At 42.0% G+C, this 15897-nt stretch overlaps 1 protein-coding gene across 9 annotated transcripts in view, besides 2 other annotated features; it reads left to right on the plus strand.

The window, feature by feature from the left end:
• Positions 1044-1433: a silencer, noted in NCBI's record as "silent region_17995". NCBI's record gives its function as "represses an Ori minimal core promoter by ATAC-STARR-seq in GM12878 lymphoblastoid cells {active_cell/tissue: GM12878}" and the evidence as "EXISTENCE:reporter gene assay evidence [ECO:0000049][PMID:35858748]".
• Positions 1814-2403: a silencer, noted in NCBI's record as "silent region_17996". NCBI's record gives its function as "represses an Ori minimal core promoter by ATAC-STARR-seq in GM12878 lymphoblastoid cells {active_cell/tissue: GM12878}" and the evidence as "EXISTENCE:reporter gene assay evidence [ECO:0000049][PMID:35858748]".
• Positions 2110-15897, plus strand: part of SP4 (Sp4 transcription factor) — an 86740-nt gene continuing 72952 nt past the window's right edge. For 5 of the 9 annotated variants that reach the window (NM_003112.5, XM_005249829.5, XM_011515486.3 and 2 more), the window contains exons 1-3: positions 2110-2285; positions 2704-2819; positions 3316-4870. In NM_003112.5, the coding sequence (NP_003103.2) occupies positions 2279-2285; positions 2704-2819; positions 3316-4870 (1678 nt within the window). In that variant the 5' untranslated portion in view covers positions 2110-2278. Of the gene's footprint in view, positions 2286-2703; positions 2931-3315; positions 4871-4947; positions 14060-15897 lie in introns of those variants that run through there. The other 4 variants (XM_047420760.1, NM_001326543.2, NM_001326542.2 and 1 more) reach the window with 4 other exon arrangements.

Below are 15897 nucleotides of genomic sequence, written 5' to 3' on the forward strand. Positions count from 1 at the left end.
TATTTTTAGTAGAGACAAGGTTTCACTATGTTGGCCAGACTGGTCGCAAACTCCTGACCCCCTGATCCACCCGCCTCGGCCTCCCGAAGCATTATTTTTAATCTATGGTTCAGAGTCAGTGACATTGCCTCTCTGAAGCAGGTTTTCCAAACGAAAACGACAATGAAAGCCCCAATTCATAAGACTGCAAAATGTCTTCATTTATCTTGGTGAACTGGGAGGAGGAGGGGACCTGAGGATAGAGACAGTATATACGTAAATGTAAGAAGCACTTTTGAGCTTTCTATATTGTACACGATGGGGAAAAAGCACGTTGTTCAGGGATCTCTGGCTCATTGTATAAGATGGGGTAGACAATACCATGTAATTCTTTATTCGAATTGCTTTGTCTTGCTGCATGGCTTTGTCATCAGCTGATTTTGCAATTACCTTAACAAGCAAAGGAAATGCCAGTCAAGTTCAGCATCTGGGACCTCCTCACCATTGCAACATGTCAGGCCTCAGGCAGGAGACAAAAATGCCCAAGGCTGAGTGTGAAGCCCAGGTAAGAAGTGAGACAATGGCTTTGAGCCTGGGGTGTAAGCATGCCTTGTTCCCAAGGCCAGTATTTACATGTGGGGTCACTTCCACCTTTGGTACAGTTAATCAGGCGCTGATTACGTTCCATGGCATCATCCTGACTTCAGGACTTTGTAGGAAAGCTGAGGCAGGACACTGCTCAAGTGCATTTGACAGTAAGATGCTTTGTGCAGCCAGATGTTAATTCCACTTGCCCTTACGCTTGCTTACGCTACACCGTAAGCGGGGCTGACCCTTATGGAGCTGGGCTTTTCTTCGCCCGGAGACTCTTGTCAGATAAGGCTTAGAACTCCGCCAACCACTTAGGCTTTTAGGCAAAACGCGATGCAACCCTTCTTAGAAGGCGGGTCACTGCTCTGCACCAGCTGCCAGCCAGAGAGACAACAAATAAAAATGGAAGATCCTTCTCCGTGAGAAAACAGGCCTCGGACTCAAAGCAGGGGGCCTGAGGGGAAGGTGAGCAAAGAAAGGCAAGGCGAGGGCGCTGCTTCAAGAAGCCGGGTTCATTCAAACCCCGAGGACAGCAAACCCCGCCTCCCCACGCCGCCGCCCGCTCAATCGCCGAGCGCTCCGGGTGTGAGCTCGCCCCGCGGGGAGCGGCTTGGAGCCGAGGAGGCGGCGGCAGAGGTGGTTTGGGCAGCCCCGCGCGGCGGATAGGCCCAGGCAAACAACACCCATTCCCCCTCCTCCTCGCTCAGTTCAACTCCCACTCGGCCCCGGCCACGCCCTGCCGCCACCGCCCCCTCGGGCAGCTTTCCGCTCGGCAGCCAGGCCTCGGTCGGGGGCGGGAGAGAGGCGGTGCCTCGAAGAAGGCACCGCGACCGCCGGAAACTACGAGTACCGACAGCCTTCGCGGTAGTGCCCCACCCCCTTTCTCCCACCACTCAGCGCGCGTCACCCTGGGCTCAGCCAATGGAGACAGAGCCAGGGAAAAAGGGCGCCCGGGTCCGGATGCGCCTCAGGAAAGCCATGCTCCCTGCGCGGGGGCAGCGGGCAGTTCACCCAGCGCGCCGACCTGTTGGTGGTCCGCGCGCGCCCACGTCCGCCGCTCTCGCTTGCCTGGATCAAGGGCCCTACTTTTTTCTTTAGTGGCAATTGGAGGGATTGCTGGAGGGGGTTTTTGAGTGGAGGGCGCTGGGAAATGAGTAGGGGGCGGGATATCCTGAGACAACAAGTTTGGCTGTATGGAGGGCCTACCGGCAGCGCTCCTGAGCTAGAACGCCGAGAGAAAGAGCGCCAGAGGAGCCAGGGAGGAGGAGAAGAGCTGCTAAAGGAATAACCCCGAGAAAGGGGGTGGAGAGGAGGCGGCCCCAGCGCCCCGGCCCCCGGCAGGTCGGCGGCCAATCCGCTGGGGGAAGGGGTGGAGAGTCGGAGGCTCCGGCGGAGAGAGGCCGAGGGGGGTGGGGAGTCGGCCAGGCTCGCACCGCCCTGGCCCCGCCCCCGACCCGCGCCGCCGCCCGCGCCGCGCGCCGCCGCTGTCAATCAAGGGCGAGTCAGCCGGGCTCGGGCGGAGAGAGGAGCTGCTACGCCACAGCCCAGCGGCGGCCATTCGCGGAAAAAGAGGCAGAGCCTGTGCCAGCTACAGCCTCCTCCGAGCCACCGCGGGCGGGCGGGACCGGCCTCTCCTCCCGCCTCGCCCCCACCCCCACCCACCTCTATCCCAGTGTCTCCGTCTGAGGGTTTGTCCTGTTAATGCGGGATGAGCGGTACGTATTCTCCACCCCCCTCAGTCTCCTTCGCCGCCTCCCTCTCTCCCTCCCTCCCCAGACCCTGCTCGGTTCTCCCCCCTCCCCCGGGGCCGCTGAGATGCTTTAAGGGGAGGAGGAGAGGGCGGGAGGGAATCGGGGAGGGAAGGAGGGTTGTGTTTTGTCTTAATGTCTGAGAGAGAACAACCTCCTTCTGGGTGTTGCTCTGGAGCCGATGGGTCGGGTTTCAAACCACGTTTTGTGATATCCCCCTCCTCCCTTCCCTCCTTCTCCCCCACCCCCTGCCGGTGTGCGTGGATCGCGGGTTTATGGAGATTAATGTTCGGGGGGAGGGGGGAGAAGAGGAGAGGAAGAAGACGAATAATAATAATCCTAATAACCTGTTGTCGTGTGTGTGTGGTGGGGGGGTTTGTTGCAGATCAGAAGAAGGAGGAGGAGGAGGAGGCGGCAGCGGCAGCGGCGATGGCTACAGAAGGAGGGAAAACCTCTGAGCCAGAGAATAACAATAAAAAACCCAAAACCTCAGGCTCCCAGGTAAAAGCAAACAAATTAAAAAAATTCATCACGACACATTAGGAGAGAGAGGGAGTTATGCCCTTTGAATGTCCAGAAGTAACAGAATAAAATGTTTATCCACTCAAAGCATCTTTCTGAGAGTGTGGAACTTAAATTGTAAATTCATCAAGTTTTCACCTCTTTGAGGGTATAACGCTGTTTAAAATTACATCAGGAATTCAGACTATAAGAAAACGGTGTGTGTGTTCCCAAGGGCATTTTGAGTTTAGGAACATAACACTTTACAAAGTTGTAAAGAAATTTCCTTTTATTTAAACTTGATATTATAGGACTTGCTTCCTTATTCATATAGTTCTTATCTACTTTTGTTCGTATTTCTTTTTGATTTCTGCTGCTTCCTAAATTGTTATGTAGAGCTGTCAAAATAAGTAACCCCCTGGCAACTACTGGCCTCCACTAAATCCGCCCACTTTTTTTCCCCCCCCCCTCTCCTTTACCGTCCCATTTTGGGTAGGACTCTCAGCCCTCTCCTCTGGCTTTACTGGCAGCTACTTGCAGCAAAATAGGGACTCCTGGTGAAAATCAAGCAACTGGACAACAACAAATTATTATAGATCCAAGTCAAGGATTGGTGCAACTTCAAAATCAACCACAACAGCTAGAACTGGTAACAACGCAACTTGCTGGAAACGCTTGGCAACTTGTTGCCTCCACTCCTCCTGCTTCAAAAGAGAATAACGTTTCTCAACCAGCCTCTAGTTCGTCTAGTTCTTCCAGCAGTAATAACGGGAGTGCATCTCCTACAAAAACTAAATCAGGTAATTCTTCCACCCCTGGTCAATTTCAAGTCATACAAGTACAAAATCCAAGTGGTAGTGTACAGTACCAAGTAATTCCACAACTTCAGACAGTGGAAGGTCAACAAATTCAAATCAATCCAACTAGTAGTTCATCTCTACAGGATTTGCAGGGTCAAATTCAGCTCATTTCTGCAGGTAATAATCAAGCTATACTCACAGCTGCTAACAGGACAGCTTCTGGGAATATTCTTGCTCAAAACCTGGCAAATCAGACAGTTCCGGTCCAAATTAGACCTGGTGTTTCAATACCACTGCAGTTACAGACTCTTCCTGGTACTCAGGCTCAAGTTGTAACAACCCTACCAATTAACATTGGAGGAGTGACTCTAGCTTTGCCAGTGATAAACAACGTGGCTGCCGGAGGAGGGACTGGGCAGGTTGGCCAGCCTGCTGCTACTGCTGATAGTGGGACTTCCAATGGGAATCAATTAGTTTCCACACCCACCAACACCACTACTTCTGCCAGTACTATGCCAGAATCTCCCTCCTCCTCCACTACCTGCACAACCACTGCTTCAACGTCTTTGACAAGCAGTGACACATTAGTGAGCTCAGCAGATACTGGCCAGTATGCAAGCACATCAGCCAGTAGTTCTGAACGCACCATTGAAGAATCTCAAACACCTGCTGCTACTGAGTCTGAAGCCCAGAGCTCCAGTCAGCTTCAGCCTAATGGAATGCAGAATGCACAGGATCAATCAAATTCTCTTCAGCAGGTGCAAATTGTAGGCCAACCTATCTTACAGCAGATCCAGATCCAACAGCCTCAGCAACAGATCATTCAGGCTATTCCACCACAGTCGTTTCAACTCCAGTCAGGGCAGACGATTCAGACCATCCAGCAGCAGCCTTTACAGAATGTTCAACTTCAAGCAGTAAATCCGACTCAGGTGCTTATCAGGGCTCCAACTTTAACACCTTCAGGGCAAATCAGTTGGCAAACTGTACAGGTTCAGAATATTCAGAGTCTTTCAAATTTGCAAGTTCAGAATGCTGGGTTATCCCAACAATTAACCATCACCCCAGTGTCTTCAAGTGGTGGCACAACTCTTGCTCAGATTGCTCCTGTGGCTGTTGCTGGTGCCCCAATAACTTTGAATACTGCCCAGCTTGCATCAGTGCCTAACCTTCAGACAGTGAGCGTTGCCAACCTGGGTGCTGCAGGTGTTCAAGTGCAGGGAGTTCCCGTTACAATCACTAGTGTTGCAGGTAAGTTCTGACATCTTTTTAAGTACCTTTTAAATAGTTTTTCATAACAATTATTGCTTTTCTCTCCTAATTCTAAGGTTTGACGTAGACCTCTGAAGTAAACACACAATCATAAGGAACCAGAAATAGCAATATTATACTAACAAACATAGCTCTGTAGTAATCAATGTGACATGTTCACTTTTGTAGATTTTATAATAATGTGTTAAATTTGTTAGTTTTTTAAAAAGTATTGTTTTATGGGACAGAGCTTTCTGATTAGAATCATAATTGCCTTCTGTAATTTAGTGGTCTTATTTGAGTACATTCCAGCTCTTCAGAAAGAACCCTAGTCGAAATGATATTTATCTCTTCTTTGAGGGAAAGTAGTTTTAAACTGAATTGGTATATATAATTGTGAGTCTGTTGAACTTTTAATTCTGTGGTGTAATAAGGCTAACTTTTTTTTAGTGGAAGTTATTTCTCAAGCTTCAGCATCTTGTCGCCCATGCTTTTGTGTTTTATTACACTGGTTTTAAACTAGATACTGATGCAGTTGAGAGATAATTTTAAGTTGTAAATTGTTTGGTTAACTTTTATGCCTACTTTTATGCTACTATCAGGATTTGAATGAATAATCCTTCATTTATAAAATTATATTTAATTAAATCATGGTCATTGTGTGATTTGTAGATGTTTAATGTAAGGTTGGTGGAAAGCAATGAAAAATGTTGACAGTAAAATGTCACTAATTTGAATTAATTGTGGTAAAGTTATTTTTAAACCTATTGTAAAAGCAGTTGTTATTTGTTATGCATATAAATAGCTCCTTCTGAAGTACTTGGGAAGTAGTTTTAATCTTTTTTGGACCAGTCTTATTGTACCTAATAACTTTTGTTTTCTAGTAATTAAACCCTTTTCATTGATTCTGATTTGATGAAAACCTCGTTGTGTTTTAGTGCCTTTGATACTTCCAGACCTTGTTAGTTAAATATTTCTATTTTGATAATGTGGGATAAATAAGTTTATCACTTTTGAATGATCTTTCTTGAAACAAGTTGCAGAAAAATTACGCTAGGGTTCTTCTTTTATGGTTAATACCTGAAGTAGGCATATATATGTAAAATTGTAAATTGCCAGATAAAGCCTTCTGATTCAGGAGAACCGAGATTATATTTTTTATCTAGATACCAGTGCTTCTAGGCCAGCGCTATCCAGCAGAACTGTCTGTGATGTTGGAAATGTTTATGTTTTCTATCTACCTAGCTACATGTGGCTGTTAAGCAGTTAAATGTGTGTGGGGCAACTGAGGAACTGAATTTTAAATTTTATTTAATTTTAATTTAAGTAGCCACATGTGGCTAGTGGCAAGGACAGTCATCTAGTTAGTGTTTCCATTGCGGTACTTTTTCTCCTAAAACTATTACAGCGTAATTACATAAATGTTTCTCTGGATTACAATCCTTAACTTGCTTTATTTCTACTCCTTTGCTAAAAACTTTGACAATAATTGTAGTATTTCAGAAAAGTGTTTTTGGTGGGTTGAATGACAGTTTGCATTGTCAAAGCAGAAGTTACTTCACTTCCATTTCATCTTGCTTATTAAGCATTAGTGAGTTGTGATTAATTAAGAGAATTAACTTATAATTTAGGTTAGAAGTAATCAATTTTTCTGCTCTCTAGTTGATAACTTTTGCAATCCAGAGGTTTTTCCCTTAGCCATTGTGAGGGTAAAGAAATGTTTTGGCCAACCAAACTTAGATTAACTTGAATGGTGCATTAAAATAAACACAGGATCCAGTTTTTGGTACTGTAAGTTTTGAATTGTGGGGGTCAAGGGATTTGCCTTTCAAACAAACTTTCCAGGTGATTGTAAAACTCACTGAAGTGGCTGGGTGTGGTGGCTCATCCCTGTAATCCCAACACTTTGGGAGGCCAGGGTGGGAGGATTGCTTGAGCCCACTAGTTCAAGACCAGCCTGGGCAACATAGGGAGACCCCGTCTCTACAAAAAATTTAAAAAAATTAGCTGGGTGTGGTGGCACACCTGTGGTCTCAGCGTCTTGGGAGGCTGAAGTAGGAGGATCGCTTGTACCCGGGGGATCCAGGCTGCGGTGAGCTGTGATTGCCTCACTGCACTCCCACCTGAGTGACAGAGCGAGACCCTCTCTCAAACAAACAAACTCACTGAAGTTTGAGAATCAAGTGTCTGGTCATCAGCAGTGAACCAGAAGACAGAATATGGAAGCAAGTGGGGGTGTTGAGCTAGTTCGTTTGTGCCTCAGAGAACAGATTTTGGTGGCAACTACAACTTTTTAGTTTTTATTTCACAAGTGTGTATTGAGATGGCTACTGTATGCTGAACACTGCCAATAGGTGTGGTTATTCCTTCATTTTCAGGGATAATTTTTTCACTTAAAGGATTTACATGATTTGGGTGGTTCTGTTTTAAGTAGAGGAGGAAATTTGAACTCTACATAGTTGGATTCTTTTCCCCCTGAAACCAAAGATTTAAAATTTTGTCGATGTTGTTTATGTTCTAATAAATATGCTCAATCCTTTTAAAAAGACAGCAGTCTGACAAAGACCAGAAGTGTACCTTGCTTGATGTCTGCAAGTCAATACAGTTAATCTAGGCCTAGTTTGCAGATTTTACCCCATTGCCTAGCTTAGTAGGTGCTTGACAAATGCTCTTTGAACTAAGGTATAAAAGATGATGGAGAAAATAGCACTTTGTAATTAGGAGTAATGCCTTGGAATGGTTTTAATGAAGCTAATGAAACAACTTTGTTTTCATTAATTTCTTTTGGCTTTGCATTTGTAAGACACTAAGAGTGGGCCGGGTGCAGTGGCACACGCCTGTAATCCCAGTACTTTGGGAGGTCAAGGCAGGTGGATCACCTGAGGTTGGGAGTTCGACACCAGCCTGACCAACATGGAGAAACCCTGTCTCTACTAAAAATACAGAATTAGCTGGGCGTGGTGGCACATGCCCGTAGTCCCAGCTACTCAGGAGGCTGAGGCAGGAGAATCACTTGAACCCAGGAGGTGGAGGTTGTTGCAGTGAGCCGAGATCGCGCCATTGCACTTCAGCCTGGGCAACAAGAACGAAACTCCATCTCAAAAAAAAAAGAAAGAAAAAAAAGACACAAAGAGTGAGACACCAGGAACTTTTCTGTCTTGACAAGGGGGAGAAGGAGCAATAAGTACCCATATCGCCCTTTTATAAATGAGCCCTGAAAGTTCAGATCTTTTACTTTGTGTCCCCATTCATCTGTAAGTACTTTCTTGGTCGGTTCATGTTGTTCCCCAGGAGAATGGTATTGTTTAATTTGTGGGGAAAATTTTGCTCGAAATTTTTATGAGAAGCCTTGAAAAATTAGTAGCTTTGACGGAATGTAATTGCTAGCTCAAGGACAATGAGCTAAAACTCTCCACCATCCACTATTCTCATTTTACTCTTCAGGAGATTAAGGGAAGTCTAGATGACATGAACAGAAAAAAGTAAAATCATACAAGGTAAATCTAATGAAACCAGTACTTGAAGCTGGGGAGCTTCATACTTCGTTTTATGAAATGAGAATGTTAGCAACAACCTAGGGGGATCCTCTTCCCATTAACAACGTGTTCAGTATAATGTGTTTCTGTGCTTTGGTCTCAGCTGTAAATCCTGACCTTCATGCTAAGCATTAGTTAGAATTGTAGTAGGAACTAAATATGTGTATGCTCTGCATACTTTTTGTTTTGTTATTGGGATTCTAAATTTAACTTAAAATTTTTTTACTTTTACTTTTAAAAAAAATAGATTTAGGGGGTACAAGTGCGGTTGTGTTACATGGATATATTGCATAGTGGAGAAGTCTGGGATTTTAGTGTACCCATCACCGAAATAGTGAACCTTGTACCCAACAGGTATTTTTTTCCACCCTCACCCTGCCCTCCACCTTTTGTAGTCCGCAGTGTCTGTTATTCCACCTGTATGTCCATGTGTAATCATTTTTTTTTTTTTTTTAGCTCCCACTTGTAAGTGTGAACGTGCTGAGTTTGACTTCAAAGGAAAAGCAGAAACCTTACTTTAAGCTCAAAGACAACTAATTGTACCTCTGGCTTAAGCTCCTTTATTTTAACTAAGTGAGGAGAGTTAACTACCTGTTTTCACAATGTCTTCTACTAGTCAAAGAGCCCTAAATAAAGTGAATTTCAGGTGTTACATTTCCTTAAAGACTTTAGAGCTATGTAGGAACAATTGATAGCTAAATCTGTAATTAACTTGGAGTGGTCCACAATGTGACTTATTTTTGGCAGTAATCATCATATGTAGTAACAGAGATCATACTGTAGGCCTTTTGATTGATGAATGAATATTTCTTTGTCAATTTTAGTGGAAATTAACAATATTATGCTGGTTCTCCCACAGAGGAAGTTCAGACTTAATAATAAGATACTGCTGACCCTTCAAGAACTTGACTCTCTTACCTAATTTCTTTACTTCTCCAAGGAATTAAAATATGAAACCTGGGGATATAGTATGAAACCAGAAATGGGAGGACCAATTCTTCATTATTGGTAAAAATAGGTACCAAAGAAAATAATTAAAATTTATATTTAATTTTAAAACTGAATTCAATCCAGTAAAATTAACTTCTTACACTGATCTTTTTTTCCAGAGCTACTAAAGGTGGAAAATTGGCTTGAGGTTTAATGCAAATATGGCTTTCCTTTGCCATATATGTTTTATTAATTTGGATTTCCCTAATGGGCATCTGTATATATACATACTCATGTACTCCTGTGTTTGGCTAGTCTTTTTTCAGAGGAGTCAGATTTACTCCAGTAATCTTATTTCTTTAAAATCTTCTAATACTGTTTGTTATAGATTGGAATTCATTATTAGAAACTTAAATCTTGTATTCAATACGAATGACTTAGGTTCTGAACTACCAAGCTGGCTTTACCTATTGAATGATTTTTTCATGGAAGATGAAAAGTACTCAAAGTAGAGCCACATTAATTTTGTAAAAGGGCATTTTTTTTTTTTTTAAGAAGGACTTCAGGATAGATTAGCAAAGGAAAATAGAGTTTTTTGTTTGTTTGCATTTGAGATGGAGTCTCGTTCTGTCGCCCAGGCTGGAGTGCAGTGGCACGATATCTGTTCCAACCTCCACCTCCTGGGTTCAAGTGATTCTCCGGCCTCAGCTCCCCAAGTAGCAGGGACTACAGGCACATGTCACCACGCCTGGCTAATTTTTGTATTTTTAGTAGAGGTGGAGTTTTGCCATGTTGGCCAGGCTGGTCTCGAACTCTTGACCTCAGGTGATCTCCCCACCTCAGCCTCCCAAAGTGCTGGGATTACAGGCATGAGGCACTGTGTCTGGCTGAAAATAGAGTTTTAATCATCTGCTTTTCAAATTCTGAATCGGAATATATAATGAGTAATACTTAGGGAATATTGGGGCAGGCATGAAAGCAGGTTGAGGATATTGGGGCAGGCATGAAAGCACTCACAGCTCTAAATTTACTTAATCAAGAAGGAAGATAGGGAATGGTGCTACGCATAGATCTTGTAGAAATAACAGACTTACAAAATGATAGAATTGTAGGTGGAAAGAATCTTGGAGATTATGGCTCAGCAGTTGTAACCTTTTGATACTGCTGCTAAAGTCTATTTATAAAGGCATTTTGTGTTTTTACTGTTTGAAGTGAAAGCAGAAATATGGGTCGAAGATTCTGCACTGCTACATTAAGTCAATCCTTACACAGTAAGGATTGACAGTAACGGGGGAACCTGGCCTAATATCAGAGTGTACACATATATGTGCTCTTCTGTACTTTTCTGATGCGGATTTGAGTTAAGATTGGCTGTTAAGATTGGATGTTCATAATGCTTGTCATTTTGCTACCTAGTGAAGGAGCAAATTGTGGCAAAGGAAACCTGTTGAACCACAAATTGCTTATTTAAGTGTGTGGTGAGATGAGGGCTTAATGAAATTGTAGTTACTAAGGTAACTTAAAAATAAATGAGCCTCTTTCTCCCACCTTCTTTCCTTAGCCCTATTTTAGAAATGAAGAAATTGAAGCCCAGAAAGGTTAAATGACCCTCTTATATTTGATGGCAAAGTGAGGGCTAGAATCTTGACTTCTCCTCCAGTTGTCTTTCTACTGCATTTTTGGGTTTGCTTTTTGGAAGTCAAGATGATAAAAATGGATGTTATCCTAGGGTCAGAAGGAACTTTCAGATTCAGTTTCAGGCTAGTATCAATAACTTAAAATTTATGCTGCATGGTAAAAAGTGTCAGAAGATTTGGCATGAATAACACCTCAATTTTTTAAAACATTCTTAACTTCAGACAAATGAGCTTGATAACCGTCCTTAGCAAAGTCCTTGAATGAATTATTGAGTAGTTGGCTCTTGAGCATTTTAAAAAAGAACCGAGGAATCACTGGGAGCCACTATGGGTTCACTAAGAAACTAGGTTCATATCTTCTTTCTTTAGGATTTCCAGATGAGTATCCAAAGGAAATAATGTTAACATAATTTATCTTGATTTTAGTATTGATAGTTGTGGCCTCTTTGAAGGCTCATAGCTGGTTGCACAATTGAATGAAAAGTGGTAATTATTATTCACCTCCTTACGAGGTCTCACACTATGGCATGGGGTTCTAATTTTGATGTAGTTTGACATTTTTTTTTCAAATACCAGGTTGAAGGATGGCTGAATTTACTGAATTCAAATATGAGACAAAGCTGGGAGGTGGTGCTTATATGATAGAACTGAGATTCAGAGTGATCTTAATAGGCTGAAATGGTGGGCCAGAATTAGTAAGATACATTTAACAGGTAAGATCCTCTCCTTAAGATGGAGGGAATTACATACCTACAAGGTAAAAAACCTGGCTTGGCAGGAGGACCTGTGAAAATGATTTGGGATGTATTGGCTTAAAATGAACTGAGAGTAGAATAAAGCTTCTGTACCTTGTGCTTGTGAGATACTTCTGCAATATTGTGCGCAGTACCGGGTGGCACATTTTAAATGGGACATTGACAGACTCGCAAATGTATCAAGAAGGATTCCCAGAATGAAGAATGTGGAAAACATTTCGTACTAGCAATAATCAAAGAACGGAGTTTTATCTTTAAAAGAAAACAAGAAATTGTGACAGCTGTCTTTAGATATATGAGGGGCTTTTTTTTTTTTTCTAACGTAGTTCTATAATTTTGTTTGGCCCTGGAAAAACATATGTATATGCACACACAAAGACAGACTAGAGTTACACAACAGTGGAATGGTTTGTTTCATTAAGTAGTGATCATTCATTAAAGATTGGATGTTCATCGGTCAAAGATTTTGTAGACTGCAGAAGAATTTCTTGTACCATATAGAAAATTTGCTTAAACTATAAACTCTGAGTCTTCTTCTAATTCTAAAATTTAAGGTCTATGAAATTAGAATATATATTTTATTTCGTTCTGGGTACTTCCATCCAGCACATGGCCAGAGTTCTCTGTAAGTCTTAAACTTACATGATTAAGTCTTTAGGGATTTTTGTGAGGGAGATTGTGGGTGATATTTACCATTTTTTTTCATAGAGGCTGTATGAGGGTGAATTCTATTAAGCAATAAATGTAGCACTGTAATTCATAAATTAATATATTTCTGTTCATTCTTAAATTTACTGTGTACTTAGGTGCTATTTTTCTATGTCGTTTCCTCTTTTATTTGGTGAATACCAAAACGTTAGTATTTTAAACATATGCTTTAGTTCTGACACTGAATTTGTAGTTACGATATGTTATCTCGGTATAGTAGTCTCCTCTTATCTGTGGGTTCTGTTACCTGTGGTCAACTATGGTCCAAAAATGTTAAATGGAATATTCTAGAAAAAAACAATTTACAAGTTTTAAATTACATGCCTTTCTGAGTAGTGTGGTGAAATCTCAGTCTGTCCAGGGTGAATGGGAATCTTCTCTTTGTCCAGTTATACCCTCTGTATATGCTAACAAGTCACTTAGTAACCTTCTCAACTGCTGTGGTATCACAGTGTGTTCAAGTATTTTTACTTTACATATTTATGGCCTGAAAGTGCAAAAGTAGTAATGCTGGCAATTTGGATATATCCAAGATAAGCCAAATATATGCCAAAGAGAAGTTGTTATCTCATACTTTGTGTAATTTATAAATTAAACTTTATCACAGGTATGTATGTATGTATGTATGAAAAAACAATATGTATAGGGTTCAGGCCATGGTTTCAGGGATCCAGTGGGGGTCTTGGAACATATTCCCCCCTCTGATAAGGGGGGACTGCTCTAGCTCTTTAACCATAGTTGTGTTTCTGATACTGTCACTTTAGTGTGAACAATGTGATTACTTTTTCTTGAGTGGAAATTAGAGAACAATTGGAAAATCTAGGATCCTAAAAGAGCCCAAATTGTGGGAAGCACTCACAGCTGTAAATTTGTCAGTTTTCCCTACAGAGCAAGCAAATCTGTATGCCTTTTTTTTTAAGTTATTTATGCTGATCTTTTATTTGTATAAATTTGTTGGGTGCAAGTACAATTTTGTTACATCGATATGTTGTATAGTGGCGAAGGCAGGGCTTTTAGTGTGTGCATCACTGCAGGAATGTACACTGTACCCATTAAGTAATTTCTCATTCCCTACTCCCCTCACACCCTCCTTTCTTTTCTTTCCTTTTTTTTTTTTTCCATGAACAGTCCTGCTGCAGTAGTCCCTTTCTTCATGGCTCAGAATATCTGGTACAAAGGTGTTTTTTGAAAATGTTTGAGGCCAAGTGCAATGGCTCATCCTGGAATCTCAGTACTTTGGAAGGCTGAGGGAGGAGGATCACGTGAGCCCAGGAGCTTGAGACCAGCCTGGGCAACATAGTGAGACTGTACCTCTACGAAAAAAGGAAAAAGTAAAAAATCAGCTGGATGTGGTGGCCCATGTTTGTAGTCCCAGCCACTCAGGTGGCTGAGGCAGGAGGATTGCTTGAACTCAAGAGTTCTGTTTAAGGTTATAGTAAGCTATGATTGTCACTGCACTCCAGTCTGGGTGAGAGAGTGAGACCTTGTCTCTTAAAAATATGTCTCTCTGTATGTAAAATGTTTAAGACGCAAGAATCTTTCGAATAGAAAAAGTGATAATTCAGATTTATGAAGCTTCTCTTTTCCTCAGGGATGATAATAAAGTTAAGGAGGTAAGAAATACCTGTGCTTGATCAGAGGTATGGTTCTTATAGTAGGTTTATTATTCGTGCAGACCACATGTACTTAGAGGCTTCGTAGAGCACAACACTAAGAATTAAAACTCACATTTTTGCTTGGGTACTCCCCGCCCCCACCAATTAGTTGTACCACTCTGGGCAAACATCATAATTGTAGTTCCATTCCTTTTTTTCATTTGCAAAATAGTGATATTAGTTCCTACCTTCTTTACCTCATAGAGTCTCAAAGATTAGGTAAGTTAATATGTATGAAAAGGCTTTGAATAATGTAAAGAAAACTGTATGCAGGAGGTGGTAACTTGGTGACATCTCTACGTAGTGACACCCACTAGAAGAATGTGAAGTAGTAAAGTGGGGGAATGAGATATTTTAGGTATGGATATTAGCTTGAGTTATATGTCAGAGGTAAACGAGAAATTTGTATAAGAGGAATTTCAGAAAGCTTTGGTAAAGTGCAAGCAAGGGTGAGGTGAGGTGTATGGAGAGAGGTGTATTAACAGGTGGAAAAGAAGTGGTGTGGCCAGGCGTGGTGGTTCACACCTGTAATCCCAGCACTTTGGGAGGCCGAGGCAGGCAGATCACTTGAGCTCAGGAGTTTGAGACCAGCTTGGGAAACATGGTGAAACCTGTCTCTACTAAAAATACAAAAATTAGCTGGGCATAGTGGTGCATGCCTGTAGTCCCATCTACTCTGGGAGGCCGAGGTGGGAGAATTGCATGAGCCTGAAAGTCGAAGGTTGCAGTGAGCTGAGATCGTGCCACTGCACTTCAGTCTGGGCAACAGAACGGGACCCTGTCTCAAAACAACAACAACAACAACAACAACAACAACAACAACAGCAGCAAACAGGTGGTGTATTTCAGTATAGTAAGAACTAAATGTCTGCTGTCTGATTAACCCTTGTTAGGTTCTGAAGATACTAACTAAACCTGTCTTAAAATGATGCTTGTGTTCAGGAGAAAGATTTACATACATGAAACCATTATATGGCAGCTGCAACTACATATGAGAGTTTATACGTAAGTACTGGGTTTTGAGGCATGGAAAACAAGTGTGAGAGCTCAGAAGTCAGTGAGGTTAGTGGGGAGTAAACAAGAAAGGCTTTTTCTGGTGGAGATAGGACTTGAAATAGGCCTTAAAGATTGGTTTGGAAAGTGGACATTTGAGACTTTGGGGGTGACAGGTGAAGAGTGAGGATGGCTTGAGTCAAGCTGCTAAACTTGGAATGAGCTTGATGGGGACCAAAGATTGGAAAAGCACAAAGCTATCATGTGGAAGCTTTTAACTAACACAGGGAATGATGGGTTCTCTTCTGTGTGCTTCCTAGAGGCTTAGTGGTCTCACAGAGTAGCTCAGGGTTTGCCAACCAAACAGCCTTCCACTCCTGCATCAGCCACACAAGTGTGTTTTTTGAACCATTTCCTAACATTTTGTTTCAAGAAGAGATTGTGCCAAAATAATAATAATAAATAAATTTGAAAAACTTGAATCTAGTGGATTGGAGATATTGAGTAAAAATATTTGCAATGCAAATGATACTTATGAGAGTGTTTCTTTGTAGATAAAAGTGTAGAAAAGTTAGAAAGCAGGAGCTCAGATAAAAGGATGTTGTTGCAGTAATTTAGTTATGAATTCACAGTGGTCCCTAGAAAGGCTGTGGTAGTGAAGTAAATGGTTACTAAATATAAAAAACAGCTTGTTGAACTTTTCTAGGACCTACACTGGTGACGTGAAAGACATGGTAAGGGATTAGGTAAAAACATCAGGTTGGTTTGTTCTTTTCCCCTGCTCTGTATCAAGCATGGTAATAGGCATTGAGA

The sequence above is a fragment of the Homo sapiens genome, chromosome 7, assembly GCF_000001405.40.
Source record: "Homo sapiens chromosome 7, GRCh38.p14 Primary Assembly".
NCBI lineage: Eukaryota > Metazoa > Chordata > Mammalia > Primates > Hominidae > Homo > Homo sapiens.